At 41.9% G+C, this 16797-nt stretch overlaps 2 long non-coding RNA genes across 2 annotated transcripts in view, besides 3 other annotated features; both read right to left on the minus strand.

The window, feature by feature from the left end:
- Positions 1-3437, minus strand: part of LOC105373408 (uncharacterized) — a 66343-nt gene extending 62906 nt beyond the window's left edge. Inside the window, exon 1 of the long non-coding RNA XR_922750.1 lies at positions 3345-3437. This is a non-coding gene — a long non-coding RNA (uncharacterized LOC105373408). The remainder of the gene's footprint in view (positions 1-3344) is intronic.
- A 3941-nt stretch (positions 3438-7378) lies between these two features.
- On the minus strand, positions 7379-9311 carry LOC101929861 (uncharacterized). Its single transcript, XR_922753.3, has 4 exons — positions 9108-9311; positions 7985-8182; positions 7740-7814; positions 7379-7628 (listed from the first exon to the last, which is right to left on the minus strand). It is a non-coding gene; the product is annotated as an uncharacterized LOC101929861 (long non-coding RNA).
- Positions 12381-12894: an enhancer, noted in NCBI's record as "OCT4-NANOG-H3K27ac hESC enhancer chr2:8012515-8013028 (GRCh37/hg19 assembly coordinates)". NCBI's record gives its function as "activates a minimal SCP1, AML or CMV promoter by ChIP-STARR-seq in naive and primed H9 embryonic stem cells {active_cell/tissue: H9 hESC(naive and primed)}" and the evidence as "EXISTENCE:reporter gene assay evidence [ECO:0000049][PMID:30033119]".
- Positions 12895-13408: an enhancer, noted in NCBI's record as "OCT4-NANOG-H3K27ac hESC enhancer chr2:8013029-8013542 (GRCh37/hg19 assembly coordinates)". NCBI's record gives its function as "activates a minimal SCP1, AML or CMV promoter by ChIP-STARR-seq in naive H9 embryonic stem cells {active_cell/tissue: H9 hESC(naive)}" and the evidence as "EXISTENCE:reporter gene assay evidence [ECO:0000049][PMID:30033119]".
- Positions 13409-13922: an enhancer, noted in NCBI's record as "H3K27ac hESC enhancer chr2:8013543-8014056 (GRCh37/hg19 assembly coordinates)". NCBI's record gives its function as "activates a minimal SCP1, AML or CMV promoter by ChIP-STARR-seq in primed H9 embryonic stem cells {active_cell/tissue: H9 hESC(primed)}" and the evidence as "EXISTENCE:reporter gene assay evidence [ECO:0000049][PMID:30033119]".

A 16797-nucleotide genomic window follows, 5' to 3' on the forward strand; every position in this document is an offset into this window, starting at 1 on the left:
AAACATTCTGAATGATAATTAGCTTTGATTTTTCCATCTATTCATAATGATAGCAGAGGGCAACGCACAACAGAAAGGGGGTTGCAAGCTTTCCACTTAGCAATTAATTCTATTATTAAATGCTAAGAAAAAAATAAGTGCCTGCCAGCTGTAGCTTTATTATGTTTTCCCAGAAATAATAATGAGAAGGCTGTGAAAGTATATTATTTATTTCTCCCTTTCTCCTCCACCCTTGTAGGAGAAAGAAAAAAGCCACGGGTGGTCATTTCTTCACTATGAAAATAAATTTCTTCATTCTGCCATTAGATAGTGGCTTAGACAATGTCTAGAGAAGGGGGTAGGTGCCCAGTGGAATGCTTATTTGTTTTGTTTTTATTCATTTATTTTTAAAATGGAACCTCTACTCTGAGCCAGAATGGGGATTAGGAAATGTGGATACTTGGAGCCTCCTCTGTAGAGGCAGGTACACACCTGTATTCAAGTAAAATGTGGTCAACGCCAGATTAGGAAAATAAACAGCACCCAGGGCACAGAGGAGAGGTGTCCAGTTGGTAATAATATCTGAATTTTAGTGGAAATGTCAATCATCAGTCAGAAAACAGCTATTGATTTTCTTCTGCTGACATTATGCCTGTAAGGAGTAGGTTCTCAATAAACATGAAATGAATGAACCTCAATCTGATCTAGATCTATCTTTTCTTCAGCACATGATGAAACAGTGTGAGGCTACACTGCACATCTCAATTCAGCCCTTAACTTGACTCCACAGGGAAGGGGGCAGTGGTTTTTGCCAGCTGAGAGGCGCACATTAATGTTTGCAAAAGGAAAGCAAGTTCAAACCAGAGTGCTTACTAATTTAGGCATAACGCCAGGGGGTTTAGATTAACACTGTTTTATTCTCATGGGACATAAATAGGAAACTGTAACACATTGGGACTAGTGTTGGACTTGGGGTAACTGAAATCTGATATCCTGCATATACTAGCTTTGTAACCTCAAGTGCATTATACATCCCCTCCAAGCCTCAGTTTTGTTATCTATAAAATGGGTGAAATGATGTTTCTTTTATAGGGATATTATGAGAATGAAATTACATGTGGGAGAATTCTGGCATATTGTAAGTCACCAACAACTATTTTTATTTGTTTAAGTCTTGTATTGTTATTGTGGTTTAAAAATCCATTTCTCTTTCCTGTTATTTGTGGGTGCTGCCAAAAATCATGCTCAGTGACACAAACTCAGGCCTCCTTCATTAAATTCCCTAATTGAGAGTATTTCTTCCTCTGGTTGGTTCAATTCAAAGCCTGTCATGGGAGCTTGTAAATGAGTCAAGAATATCTCATTTTCTCTGTTTCCAGTTCAACCTGTGGGGTACAAACCTCCGTATTCCTGCATGATGAGCGTCACTGTATCTGTTTAAGTGAAAGGTTACTCTACTATTTGTGCTTGGAGCCAGTAACATTGGACAAAATTTGTCCTGATGATCATTCTCCTAGGCACAGCATTTCATATGTTGTTTTAAATTAAATTTGCATGTTTTTGTTGGGGAGAAGAGGTGCACCCTTCATTTTGCTACAGTCCCACTACTCCCTGTGCATCTGATCTGATTTGATTCCTATAAGATATCACCTTCCAGCTTCTGTAGGCCATTGGAAATTATGACCACTGCTCTAAACTATGCCCACATCTAGTCACACCTACCTGTAACACAAGAGCCTAACATATGAGTTTGGGAGAGGGTTGATTTAATACCAAGACAGTCATCTACAAATTTATCTCCCTGCTTCAAGTCTCTATTTCTTTAGTGCCTTCTCCTCATGGAAAGTGATTGAACTTTCAGAAATGAATGTATTGATGCTATTACTCCTCTACGATAAGCTTTCAAAAGTTCTCTGTAACCCAATTTATACTTCCCTGCCCACCCTCAGGCACTGCTAACCTATGCTTCAGATATTCTAAATGAGTTTCCTTTTTCAAGCATGCTCTGGACGTTCACAACTACATGCCTTTGCGAATAGTCTTCCCTGTGCTTGGAAGACCCTCTCAGAATTTTTCAATTAGCAAGCCTCCCTCAAGATGCAATCATAAGCCTTGCAAAGTGTTTTCTGATTGACAGCCCAAGCATCCAATAGCTCCTCCTGAGTTCTCACAAGAGTGTTGGTTTCCTTATGATGATTATTTTCATCCTCCATCTTCTCTACAGCACACATTCCTTAAGAGAGGATATCTCTGTAGTGTCTCATAGCACAGGGCCAGGCACCCACGGAGCTTGTAGCAGACAGGGCTCCTTGTGGACCACTGCCTGCAACTCCACATTTTCCCTTCCCTCCCTCCTAACAGAGCTCAGTTTTGTCAGAGCAGAACTGAGCTTCAGCTACAAACATGCCCAGCTCGAGTCCTGGCTAGGAAAGACAGAAACCCTTTGCCAAATAAAAAAGCAAAGTCTTCCTAGGGGAAGGCTCTTTTCCCTTTAGTCCAGAATGTGGTGCCCTTCCCGGAAAAGCAACACTGCACTGCATGCAGAGGACAAAAGCCACAGTCAGGGACGGTGGTGCTGGAGGGCGAGGATCACGGTCCCTGGTGACACCTGAGCAACTGCACTCAGCTTGGCCTTTTACCTCCAGACTTTTTATTTTATATTAAAAGCATACCATTAAAGGCTTAAACCAGTTTTCATTGAGTTTTCAGCTACTTGCTGTCACGTACTTTCCCCACTGATAAAATGGTCAGCACCTTTCGTTTCAATATCAAACGATATTGATCACTCATTCAATAGACATGTGTTAATTCTTGGGACAGTGAACAGGACCAAGTTCCTACCCTCATGGAGTTTATGTTCTAGAGAGGAGACAGTGAACTATCCTGTTTGTCAATGTATAACACAGGAAATCAAATGATGCAGTGGCTCACGCCTGTAATTCCAGCACTTTGGGAGGCTGAGGCAGGCGGATCATGAGGTCAGGAGTTCGAGACCAGCCTGGCCAACAATGGTGAAACCCCCTCTCTACTAAAAATACAAAAAGATTAGCCAGGCATGGTGGTGCACACCTGTAATCCTGGCTATTCAAGAGGCTGAGGCAGGAGAATCGCTTGAACCCAGGAGGCAGAGGTTGTGGTGAGCTGAGACCATGCCCCAGCACTCCAGCCTGGGCAACAGAGGGAGACTCTGTCTAAAAAAAAAAAGAAGAAGAAAAAAATCAAATGTCAAATAATTGTTAATAAATGTCGCATAAAGAAAAGAAAAATAAGCAGGATAGGAAAGGGAGAGTGACGGGAGAAGAAGGATGGCAGGAGGAAATCTAGAGCAGGGTCACTGGAAGGCATAGAGTGAGCTCTGTATCTACCTTTGGAAGCATCAGTGCAAATGGCTCGATGCAGGCCTTCGTTCCAGGAAGAGTAAGAAGGACAATCCGCTAGAGAACAAAGCCTGACATGGAGCGAGTGGGGGGATTATATCAGAAAGAAGAATGCAGGCTGCTGGGCTATAGATTCCATGTGAGGTCACAATCTATGTGTGATTAGAAGCTGGGGAGTGTATTGATGAGCTGTGGCCTAATTTGCTGATATATATTTTCCCATTGATTATCCTGCTACGTGGAAAATTGATGGCAGGGGGAAGCAAGATTGGGAGCAGAAGACGATGTGGAAAAGTGGCCTCCTTCAAGCTGTATTTTGGAGGTAGAATCAGTAAGATCCACTAATGTGGAGCTTGAGAAAAATAGAGGCATCAGAAATGATGCCCAGATTTTGACCTGAGCTCTTCAGTGAATGTTGGTGACATTTTCTAAGATGTGGAAGAAATCAAGAAATTAAAAGTTATTCTGGACATGCTGAATTTGAGATATCAACTAGATACTCAAATGGAGACATCAGGAAATCAGAGACCAGGAAACAGTTTGGGGCTGAAGATGGAATTTGGGAATCTTCAGCCATAAAGACCAGGGACTGGGATGAGGTCTCCTAAAGAGTTAGTATTATGAACACTCACATAAACTGTGGACCCTGAGTGATAATGATGTGTCAATGTAGGTCTATTAATTGTAACAAAGACCACGCTGATGGGGAATGTTGATCTGAGGTGGGGTAGGGGCTGTGCCTGTGTGGGGGCCGGGGGCATTTGAGAACTCTCTGTACTTTTCATTCAATTTTACTGTGAGCCAAACTGCCTAAAGAATAAAGTCTATTAAAGAAAATTCAATTAGGCCTTAAAATAGTGTTAGAGGAGAGTATCAGAGGAGAGAAGGATAGGGTGAGTCGTGTGTTATGAAGAGCTTCAGACATCTGAGAGAGAAGCAGCAGCTAGGGAAGGAAGCTGAAAAGGAATGATCAGTGAGGGTAAAAAGAAAAGGAGTGAGTACAGGGTCAGGAAGGCCAGTGAAGAAAGCACTTTAGGAATAATAAAATAAATTCCTTTTTCAGGTGAAAGAGATGAGGATTGAGAATTGATCATCGTCTCCTTAACAAGGAGCTCCTGTTCAGTGGAGTGATGGGAACCAAAGCCCAGTAGAAATGACCTGAGATGAAAATGAAAGGCAAAGCAATAGAGAAGCAAGTGTAGACAGAAGCATAGAAAGAAGAATGCAGGCTGCTGGGCTACAGATTCCATGCGGGGTCACAATCCATGTGTAATTAGAAGTTGGGGAGGGCATTGATGGGCTCTGATTTGATTAGCTGATATATATTCCCACAGCGATTATCGTGCCATGTGGAAAATTGATGATAACAGGAAGCAAGATTGGGAGCAGAGGATGACAGAGGTTGTGAAAAGTGGCCTCCTTCGAGCTGTATTTTGGAGGTGGAGCCAGTAAGATGTACTAATGTGGAGTTTGAGAAAAATAGAATAATTATTCTCAAGGAATTATGCTGTCTAGGAGAAAAGAGAAATAAAGCGGTAGTCAGAGGGATATGTGGACAACACAGCAAGACCCCATCTGGCCAAAGAATAAAAAAATTATCCAGGCATGGTGGTGTGCAACTGTAGTTCCAACTACTCAGGAGGCTGAGGTGGGAGGATCACTAGAGCCCAGGAGGTCGAGGCTGCAGTGAGCTGTGATCATGCCACTGCACTCCAGCCTGAGTGACAGAGCAAGACCATGTCTCAAAAAAAAAAAAAAAGAAAAGAAAAGAAAAGTATTGAAAATGTTCTGTACTACTAGGAATGATCCAGTAGAAGAGGTAATAATAGTGATGTAGAAGACAGGGCACCATTTCAAGAGCAGAGTCAAAATTTACAGAACAGGATGAAATCTCATAACCAGGAGCAGGGTCTGTTCATTCGTTATAAATGGAGAGTATGTAAATGTGAGCACAGGTGGATTCACATGCTCCACACTGGCATGGCTCAGTAGGTGTTGCACAGTGATGGAGGGATAGACAGAGTGATGAATGGATGGATGGAAGGACAGACAAATGGATGGATGAATGTGGCTACATTTTCTAACTCTCAAAAAATTTTGTCTTAGGATTTGTCTCAATGAAGCAAAAGACTTCCCCAGTTATGAGTCCCCAATTAGCAAATATCTTCAAACAAAGAAGTTTTGAAAGAGGATTCTTTTTAAGAGATTTCTAAAACAGAAAAATGTTATGTGTTTCCTGAGGTTTCAACTTCATCTCTTCTGACAGGGAATTTAAAAATATAGGTGAAAAGAGGAGAAAGAGTAATCAGAATGGAATTATAAACACAATAAAACTGTAAAAAAAAGAGAAAATATGTTGAGACTTCAGGGCTAGGTGATTTTTGTGTACCATTGTTCTGAATGGAATATTATACAATTAGATGTAGTGCCAATACATTTCCCAACTACAGCTTTGAAAAAAAAGTTAGAGTAAAAATGACCAAATTAGCATTTTATGATTATTTCCAAGAGGGAGAAAAATTGTGTTATATGGTTTTGTGGAATAAATTTTAAAAGTGTTTATTGAGTTTTAAGATTTAGTTTCAAAATAACTGAGTTAATGGACAAGTTGGGAAATATAAAATTTTGTTCAGGAAAGTTTTTTTGAATTAGCCAATAGCAAGAGTAACCTGAAGGGAATTTCTCAAACTTTTAATGATTTATTTGGAAAAAAAAATTAAATAAAATCAACATACTGAACTTGAAACAACAGGTAAACTATAGTAATAATCTAGTCATAATTATCCAATTATCAAATCTCAATTCACCCACTTATTAATTGAATGATCTTTCATAACATTTTGAACTTCAGGTCATTGATTTGCAAAATAGGATGAATACTAACATAATACATATTTATAAGGTTTGAAGAGTTAACCTACATAATGCACCTGGCAGATGGTGCTATATAGTAGGGCAAGCTTGTCCAACCCATGGGCCGCGAGCTGCATGCAGCTCAGGACAGCTTTGAATGTGGCCCAACACAAATTAGTAAGGTTTCTTAAAACATTATGAGATTTTTTTGCTATTTTTTTAGCTCATCAGCTATTGTTAGTGTTAGTGTATTTTATGTGTGGCCCAAGACAATCGTTCTCCCAGTGTGGCCCTGGGAAGCCAAAAGATTGGACACCCCTGTTGTAGGGACTCAAAAACTGCTTATTTAACTCTTTTTCATTTATCTCTGTTTTCTTTACTTCTTTTGCCTTTACTTCTATAATCCCATACCTTGTAAGGTGCCAGAAGTACTGATGTAAATAAAAGTGAAAAAAGAATGCTTTCATCAGCATCCTTCTCTAATAATCTATTTAATCTTTCTATAATTCCCACACAGCAAAAGACACATATGCCCCCACACACAGGCACAAAAATGCACACACTCCCTAAAGCAGCCATGGTATATTCCTTACATTTCAGGTAATGGCATTGACAGCAGGAAAAACATTGTTTATTTTCTGTTTTGACTATTTGACTTTAGCTTCTAGAAGCATTCACCCCATGCAAAAATTTACTAGTGTTTTCATGCATTTCACTGAAATTATGAAAAGTCACTCTGCAGTAACTTCCCCCTACGTAATAAAGAGAAAGACTAATTTTGCTGACCAATGACAGATTTCAAGTCCTGCCCCTCCTTTCCTCTTTGCACACATCTGGACAACCCCGTAAGCACTGGTGCTTCTGCCCTTCATCATCAGGCAGATGGGCATTTCAAACAACATGAACACCTGCCTGGGAGGGTACTCCCACCCTGGCTCTAACCCTTGTCCACAGTGAAAATCCCAAATGCTTGCACTTCCTTGTTTTGCTCTTGACCTTCTCTTTGGAGAAACTCTTTGCTGCTTGCCAAGTGAATAGTAAACTTTATCACACATCAATTGGTGCCTATGTGTCATTCATCCCAACATCTGCAAAATCTCTGAGGGGCTGTCCAGCAAACTACGGAAAATGGTAGGTGCCCCCTCCCAAAAAGAAATTTGCAAGTGTTGTTTGCAATTGATGTTTGCAAGTGTTTAATTAATTAATTAATTAAGTATACCTCCATTCATTCTGCCTGCTCCAGGGTTTTTACGTGTTTGGTTTCTTCTGTCTTCAATATTCTACCCCATTCTTCTCCTGACTCTTCTTCCAGATAAACTCACCTTCACTCTTCAAAGAAAACTTGCTCAGCTTCCCCAGTCCAGAGATTCCTGTGTCACAAATTCTCATAGATCTCTGGTGCACTGAGATTACAATAAGCTAAAATATAATTACATGTTTATTAGTGTAAGCATTTGATTTGTTTTTTTCCTCCTCCATTTGATTACCAACTCCATGTGGTAGTGACCATCCCCGTTCTTCATTACTAACCTGGCATTCAGCATGGTACTCAGTATGTAGACATGTGAGCAAAGACTCTGCATTAGCCATTAGAACACATCAAGGCTGAGGAAAGAAAAACATTGTACTTGTCATGTATGTGTGTGTGTGTTTGTGTGTGTGCATAAACACAAATACAAGTACATATATGTGTCTTGTGTGTGGGTAAGTGCCCGTACACACACACACACACACACACACACACAGTCAATTGCAGTCAACTTAGTATTTCTCACTCTCTTGCATGAAGCTCAGACACCTCCCTCAGATGAGCCTCAGGTTGGCCCCAGGACATTAGGAAATGAAAGCAGCAGAGGAAATGTTTTAAATGTGTGCCTCAGAGGCAGATAATTGATGTGGTTCCTCCTTATGCATTTACAGGTTGTGTAATTTGGGGCAAGTCAGTTAATCTTGACGAGAACCAGCTTCCTCATCTGTAAAATAGAGATTAGGAAAGTCTGATAATAGAGAAAATAATAATAATAATAGAGATTACACAGTGCTATTGTGGGGACTTGAAATTATGTATGTAAAGACTTGAAATTATGTATGTAAAGCAAACTGTGCCTATTTTAATTAAAGTCTCCTGTAGTTGGGTTCATACTCATAGCAGCCCTAAGCCATAAGTCAAAAAGCAGACATGAACCAATAGGCCTTAATGTATAGGACTGAATCCAAAGACTCACCTACTTTGAATTCAGCCTTCCTTACATAATTCTTTCTAAAATATGTACAGGAACTTCCCACCTGATCTTCCCCTTCAGCTTCTCTGAGCTCTGGGTCATGGGGGCGTGCAGCACCATAGTGAGGGACACTCACCTATCTGCACCCTATCACTGAGATTGGAGAGGGTGACAGACAGATGTGAGACCAAGATTTTTCCCTCAACTTCCCATTTGTCCTCTCTTTCCCATGTCACATTCATCTTTCTTTCTTAAGCACCAGATCTGATGACTTCAAACTCAAAGGCAAGCACATACATAACTATCTTAAATAGACTGTATAACCCATGAGGTCAATAACAAGACCTATATCTATATCTAAATAAAGCATGAGAAAGACTTCTTATCACCCACAGTGATTCTGCTTTTCTTATCAAACTGTATATAAATGATCAAAAAACGGTGACATGCCAGGAGAATTTGGCAAATGTGAGATGCTGAGAGCTCGAGAAGGGTGGTTAAGAGAAAGATGTGGGAGCATTCTTACAAAATCATGATCAACCATGTGTGCTCTGATAAGACTACCTTATCAGAAGTGGTCTTATCAGAGGTAGGGTACCTTATCATCCGAGCTGTCTCTGTTCGGGTGAGGTTACTAAGTGGGAGGTGTTGCTGCTGATCTCTCCAAGGTAATTACCTGCTCTCGATTTCTCACCCCTCGATCCTCACAATTTCTGAACTCAGCATCCTGAGGCCTTTCCCTGGTTCTTGATTCCTGTCACCAGGCATCTGGAAGCATCAAGCAGGCCTGGGAGCCCTTTCGTTTTTCCTGAAAACACAACAGAGCAGGACCATCTTTCCATAATGATGGTAGATCTGTGGATTGTGCCCCACTGCCCCAGATGACTTAGCTAAGCTGGAAATTCTTTCCCAGAATCCACTTCTCTGAATTTTCAATTATTCTACAAAGGAACTCTGCATGTAATTTGGAAGCCAGAAGAGAAGCAGCAGCTGTGTTGCCACCTGGAGGGTTGTTGTGCATCCAGGTGCTCCTCTGTGGATTCCCCTGGGGGATTGTGGGCAGTGGCCAGGCCCAATGCTCCCAGCTCCCACCTGACCTTCCCCTTCAGCTTCTCTGAGCCTTGAGTCAGGTGGTTGTGCAGCTCCTTGGTGAGGGACACTCACCTATCTGCACCCTATCACTGAGATTGGAGGGGGTGACAGACAGATGTGAGACCAAGATTTTTCCCTCAAATTCCCATTTGTCCTCTCTTTTGCATGTCACATTCATCTTTCTTTCTTAAGCACCAGCTTTGATAACTTCAAACTCAAAGGCAAGCACATACATAAGTATCTTAAGTAGACTGTATAACCCATGAGGTCAATAACAAGGCCTATATCTATACCTAAATAAAGCATGAGAATGACTTCGTATCACCCATAGTGATTCTTCTTTTCTTATCCAACTGTATATAAATGATCAAGAAATGGTCACATGCCAGGAGAATTTTGCAAATGCGAGATGCTGAGAGCTTGAGAAGGGTGGTTAAGAGAGAGATGTCAGAGGATTCCTACAAAATCATGATCAACCATGTGTGCTCTGATAAGACTACCTTGTAGTGTGACCCAAAACTCGTCCACAAAGTTGCAAAAATCTTAATGTGAATGCATTTATAGTGGCATCAATCAAGAGATGAATTAAGATGTCTAGCTCAGCAAAGAAGAAACCTAAACATCACAAGCTAACACAGGACATAAGAAGAGGTAGCCACAGGGAAGACAGATGATCCACAGGTGTTACAGACAGGGTGCTGGACTAACTAGTTTTTCCCATTGGGAATATCGGGTCAGGATGATCTACATCTCTATGGGTGAAATAAATTCCAAGGGTCATATGAATTACATTTATTTACCCACATCTGATGACTGATGTGTCACAAGATTCTGTATCCACTTTTGTCCAAGTTCTTGACTTAGCTCCTGCCTCCCAGCCCTGTGTTTATGCTGTAATTCAAACTCTCATTGCCTCTCACCTGAGCTACTATAAAAGTATCTAAACCAGTCCCCTCATCCAGTCTGTCTGTCTCTTCTTCCATTCCATTCCCCTTACAATGCCCCATTTAACCTTCCTCAAATGCACCCCTTGTCATGTCAGTGACGTGTCCTTTGTTCCTCCAATACCTAATACGGTGCATAACAAATCATATTTTATAAGAATCTGTTGAATAAAAGCTGACATTAGAAAATTTCCAAATGAAGGCATTATATATACATATATGTGTGTGTGTGTGTGTGTGTGTGTGTGTATACACACATTAATGTATGAAATGTTTTTTCTGCAAATAAAGAATGCAGTAAAATGCAAATAAAGTGACAATTCATGTTACCATCAGAAACACAGCTGGCTGGAGAAAAAAATCAGTGAAATTTATCCCGCATCTCCTCTTACAAAATCCTTTTATCTTTCATTAAGGTACCTCTTTTCAACCTGTTCTCATCCCTGTAAATCAACCATTCCTATGTGTCTTTTGTTTTGCCCCCTCTTCACCTAAACTATCTTCAGAAAAATCCCAGTAGGTGTCATGTCTCAGGAGAGTGGAGATATTTTATGTATTATATTTGACTTTGGGAAAATGGGCAGTGAGAAACCCAGGAGAGAGTTAAGAAAGTATTTAGCAATATCAACAGACATTTGGTTTCCTTGAAGATGTACTCCAAGAGTATGATACATATGAATAAACAATCTTGGGAGAACATTTTGTTGGCTGAGTTGCACCCTCTGAAAGCATATATTCAAGTTCTCACCCATGAACGAGATCTTACTTGGAAGCAGGTGTAATTAAGTTAAAATGGGACCATGCTGGACTACAGTGAGCCCTACACCTAACGTGGCTGGTATTTTTAGAAGAGAGGAGACACAGAGACAGGCCCAGGGAGAATGCCCATGAACAAGGAAGCAATGATTGGAGCATTGTGTCTACAAGCCAATAGTCACCAAGCATTGCTGACCCCCACCAAAAGCTGGAAGAGGCCAGAAAGTATCTTTCCCTACAGCCTTCAGAGAAAATATGGCCCCAGCGCTGTTCTGAACACAGAAGATACATCAGTGAACAGATGAGAGGGAAAATCCATGTCCTTATGGGTTGTAGTTGATGAAAAACTTTGCTTTTTAGGAATAATCAAATTGACAGCTCAAGCATTTTGTCTAACTTATTTTCTGTCCAGTTATAACTCTAATATAACTCTAATATATATATATATATATATATAAGATAATTTAACAAATTTTATGAAGATGTATGGATAGGTGTGAGTCCATATAACTCAACTGTGTAGAGTAGGATAGCTCTGTACTGGTTCTGGGGAAAAGCGGGCAGGGGGTTCCTAAAATATGCGGAAGGCATTATATTGCAAAAGAGAAGCTTTTAGGAAATGGCCTCTGGATGCTTCTGTGGGTTTTTTTCTGCTCTTTCCCTAAAGATTGAATATTGTTTAATATGCTCTTTCTGGCCAAACACCTGTCAAATTCCTATTTTTAGTTGATGTTAATTAGGAGCAAGAACTAATACTCTCTTAATTAATTGGATGTCTTCTCTCCTCAGTTCCTCTGCTGCTTCTCCCTCCACTAGATAACCCCACACACAACTGCTGTAGGGTTGAGGAATCTATTAGTCGGAGACCATGAGGATCATAAATACAGAGCTTCACACACACTTAGATATTCAAATTTATTCACATGTCCTTAATTAGTAATAATTCTAATTGAGTTTGAGTCTGCTATCTTGAAAAATATGCAATTTGTTCAGCAAGTGCCCACCAGTCTCCTCCAGTGGTTTTTTTTTTTTTTTTTTGTCATACATGAATTACTGAAACATGAAAACAACATCTCTCTTTTTCAAACCATCACACTCATTATTCCCTCGCAACTCTGGAGGCATCTTTTCCACTGCCGGCTCTCCTAAGCAAACTACACTTTGGGAACTAAGAAGTTCTGTGTGTGCTTTCAAATCTCTTTACTGTAGGAGCCAAAGTTTTCTTTGTTCACCAGTTTTATAACTCTATTCCTCTCCTACATTAATCACAAATAATCAGCCACTCATCTTTAATTCTTTTACCTTCTAAAAACTCTCACATCCTTACCTCCCTTCTACCCCTTTTCCTGAAAGTTTTCAGAAGTTTCTTAAGTGATTTCCAACCATCCTCATCATACTATACTTACAGATCCTTCTAAAATGCAAAACTGGTCATGGTTTTTGTTTGTTTGTTTTCTTAAAATCTGTAAATGGCTTCTTTCATGTGCGTCCCTGTGAAGAGACCACCAAACAGGCTTTGTGTGAGTAACATGGCTGTTTATTTCACCTGGGTGCAGGCGGGCTGAGTCCGAAAAGAGAGTCAGTGAAGGGAGATAAGGGTGGGACCGTTTTATAGGATTTGGGTAGGTAAAGGAAAATTACAGTCAAAGGGGGTTTGTTCTCTGGCGGGCAGGAGTGGGGGTCGCAAGGTGCTCAGTGGGGGAGCTTTTTGAGCCAGGATGAGCCAGGAAAAGGACTTTCACAAGGTAATGTCATCAGTTAAGGCAAGGACCGGCCATTTACACTTCTTTTGTGGTGGAATGTCATCAGTTAAGGTGGGGCAGGGCATATTCACTTCTTTTGTGATTCTTCAGTTACTTCAGGCCATCTGGGCGTATACGTGCAAGTCACAGGGGATGCGATGGCTTGGCTTGGGCTCAGAGGCCTGACATTCCTGCCTTCTTATATTAATAAGAAAAATGAAATAGTGTTGAAGTGTTGGGGTGGCAAAAATTTTTGGGGGGTGGTATGGGGAGAGAATGGGCGATGTTTCTCAGAGCTGCTTCAAGCGGGATTAGGGGCGGCGTGGGACCCTAGAGTGGGAGAGATTAAGCTGAAGGGAGGTCTTGTGGTAAGGGGTGATATTGTGGGGATGTTAGAAGAAACATTTGTCGTATAGAATGATTGGTGATGGCCTGGATACAGTTTTGTATGAATTGAAAAACTAAATGGAATAAGAGAAGGAGAAAAACAGGTATAAAAGGTCTAAGAATTGGGAGGACCTAGGACATCTAATTAGAGAGTGCCTAAGGAGATTCAGCATAGTCCTGCCAGCAAAGATTATTTATTTACTTCAAGAGTTAAGAGTGGCAGTTTGGGGATAGCATGAGGAGATATCAGCTGTGATGGTTTAGGAAAAAACAGTGTAAACTGGCAGTGTAAACAAGAACAGGGCATGTATGAGTAGTTGAGAACGGTGAATAGGAGTATGACTAGACAGAAGATGGTAGGGATGACAAGTTTTTTGGGGCACAGTCTAAGTTGGTCTGGTGTCTGGTATGAGAAGCGTCTATACAGGAGCTTAAATGGGCTGTACCCTGTGGCATTCCGAGAACAGGCCTGAATTCTGAGAAGGGAAAGTGGTAAAAGTATTGTCCAGTCCTTTTTAAGTTGGTGGCTGAGCTTGGTGAGGTGTGTTTTTAAAAGACCTTTAGTCCATTCCACTTTTCTTGAAGACGGAGGACCGTAAGGGATATAAAGCTTTCACTGAATACTAAGAGCCTGAAAAACTGCTTGGCTGATTTGACTAATAAAGGCTCATCTGTTATCAGACTGTATTGAGGTGGGAAGGCTTAACTGAGGAATTATGTCTAACAGAACGGAAGAAATCACTGCGGTGGCCTTCTGAGACCCTCTAGGAAAGGCCTCTACCTATCCAGTGAAAGTATCTACCTAGACTAAGAGGTATTTTAGTTATCTGACTCAGGGCATGTTGAGTAAAGCTAATTTGCCAGTCCTGGGTGGGGCAAATCCTGGAGCTTGATGTGTAGGGAAGGAAGGGGGCCTGAATAATCCCTGAGGAGTAGTAGAATAGCAGATGGAAAACTGAGAAGTTATTTCCTTGAGGATAGATTTCCACGATGGAAAGGAAATGAGAGGTTCTAAGAGGTGGGCTAGTGGCTTGTACTATAGCATAACCTGCCTTTGCTGGTGTGTGGAGATTAAGCCTGGTGGAACCGCCATCAATAAATCAAGCGTGATCAGGCTGAGGAACAAGAAAGAAGGAAATTTGGGGAAATGGGGTGAATGTCAGGTGGATCAGAGAGATACAGTCATGGGGGTCAGGTGTGGTATCAGGAATAATGTGGGAGGCCAGATTGAAGTCTGGGCCAGGAACAATGGTAATTGTGGGAGACTCAACAAAGAGTGAGTATAGCTGAAGGAGCCAGGAAGCAGAAAGTATATGCATCAGGTATGAGGAAGAAAATAGATTTTGGAAGTTATGAGAACTGTAGAGAGTGAGTTGAGCATAGTTTGTGATTTTGAGGGCCTCTAAAAGTATTAAAGCAGCAGCAGCCACTGCACGCAGACATAAGGGCTAGTCAAGTTTGGACAGAAAGCCTACAGGGTATGGTCCTGGCTCTTGTGTAAGAATTCTGACCACGCTAACCATGCCTAGGAAGGAAAGGAGTTGTAGTTTTGTAGAAGGTGCTGGGGTTTGAGAGATCAGTCGGACACGATTGGCAGGGAGAGCACGTGTGTTTTTATGAGAATTATGCCAAGATAGGTAACAGATGAGGAAGTAATTTGGGCTTGATTGAAGTAATGGGGGCTGTCTGTGAAGCTTTGCAGCAGTACAGCCTTGGTAATTTGCTGAGCCTAATGGGTGTCAGGTGAAAGCAAAGAGAGGCTGGGACGAGGGGTGCAGGGGAATAGTGAAAAAAACATCTTTAAGATCAAGCACGGAATAGTGAGTTGTGGAGGAAGGTATTGAGGACAAAAGAGTGTACAGGTTGGGCACCACAGGGTGGATAGGCAAGACAATTTGGTTGATAAGGTGCAGATCCTGAACTAACTTGTAAGGCTTGTCTGGTTTTAGGACAGGTAAAATGGGGGAATTTTAAGGAGAGTTTACAGGGTTTAAAAGGCCATGCTGTAGCAGGGGAGTGATAACAGGCTTTAATCTTTTTAAAGCTTGCTGCGGGATGGGATATTGGCGTTGAGTGGGGTAAGGGTGATTAGGTTTTAATGAGATGGTAAGGGGTGCATGATCGGTTGCCAAGGAGGGAGTAGAGGTATCTTATACTTGTGTGTTAAGGTCGGGGGATACAAGAGGAGGATTGGGAAGAAGGGCGGCAATGAGATACAGCTGTAGTCCAGGAATAGTCAGGGAAGCAAATAATTTAGTTAAAGTGTCTCAGCCTAATAAGGGAACTGGGCAGGTGGGGATAACTAAAAAGGAGTGCTTAAAAGAGTATTGTCTAAGTTGGCACCAGAGTTGGGGAGTTTTAAGAGGTTTAGAAGCCTGGCCGTCAATACCCACAACAGTTATGGAGGCAAGGGAAACAGGCCCTTGAAAAGAAGGTAATGTGGAGTGGGTAGCCTCCGTATTGATTAAGAAGGTGACGGGCTTACCTTCCACTGTGAGAGTTACCCAAAGCTCGGCGTCCATGATGGTCTAGGGGGCTTCCGACACGATCAGGCAGTATCAGTCTTCAGCCGCTAAGCCGAGAAGATCTGGGAAGGAGTCAGTCAGAGAGCCTTGGGCCAGAGTTCCAGGGGCTCTGGGAGTGGCTGCCAGGTGAGTTGAATAGTCCAATTTTCAGTGGGGTCCCACACAGATGGGACTCGGCTTAGGAGGAATCCCGGGCTGCGGGCATTCCTTGGCCCAGTGGCCAGATTTCTGGCACGTGTAGCAAGCTCCTGTGGGAGGAGGTTCTGGAGGAATGCCTGGCCGCTGCGGTTCAGGCATTTGGAAGTTCTTGTGTGCTGGAGATGTGGCTGGGGTTTGTCTCACAGTGGAGGCAAGGAATCGCAACTTTTTTCTATTATTGTACACCTTGAAGGCGAGGTTAATTAAATCCTGTTGTGGGGTTTGAGGGCTGGAATTTAATTTTTGGAGTTTTATTTAATGTCGGGAGCAGATCGGGTAATAAAATGTATTTTGAGAATAAGACGGCCTTTTCACCTTTTAGGGTCTAGGGCTGTAAAGCGTCTCAGGGTTGCTGCCAAACAGGTCATGAACTGGGCTGGATTTTTATATTTGATGAAAAAGAGCCTAAACGCTATCTGATTTGGGATAAAGAAAAAGGAGCATTCACCTTGACTATGCCTTTGGCTCCAGCCACCTTTTTAAGAGTAAACTGCTGGGCAGGTGGGGGAGGGCTAGTCACAGAACGAAACTGTAAGCCAGACCAGGTGTGAGGGGGGAGGTGATAAAAGGATTACAAGGTGGAGGAACGGAGGCTGAGAAAGAATTGGGACCTAGCTCGGCCTGGCGAGGAGCAGCCTGGGGAGGAAGGGAGAGGTCAGATGGGTCTGTAGAAAAGGAAGATTAGAAAGACTCAGCGACGCTTGGGGTTGGTACTGAGGGGA

This window comes from Homo sapiens, chromosome 2, assembly GCF_000001405.40.
Source record: "Homo sapiens chromosome 2, GRCh38.p14 Primary Assembly".
NCBI lineage: Eukaryota > Metazoa > Chordata > Mammalia > Primates > Hominidae > Homo > Homo sapiens.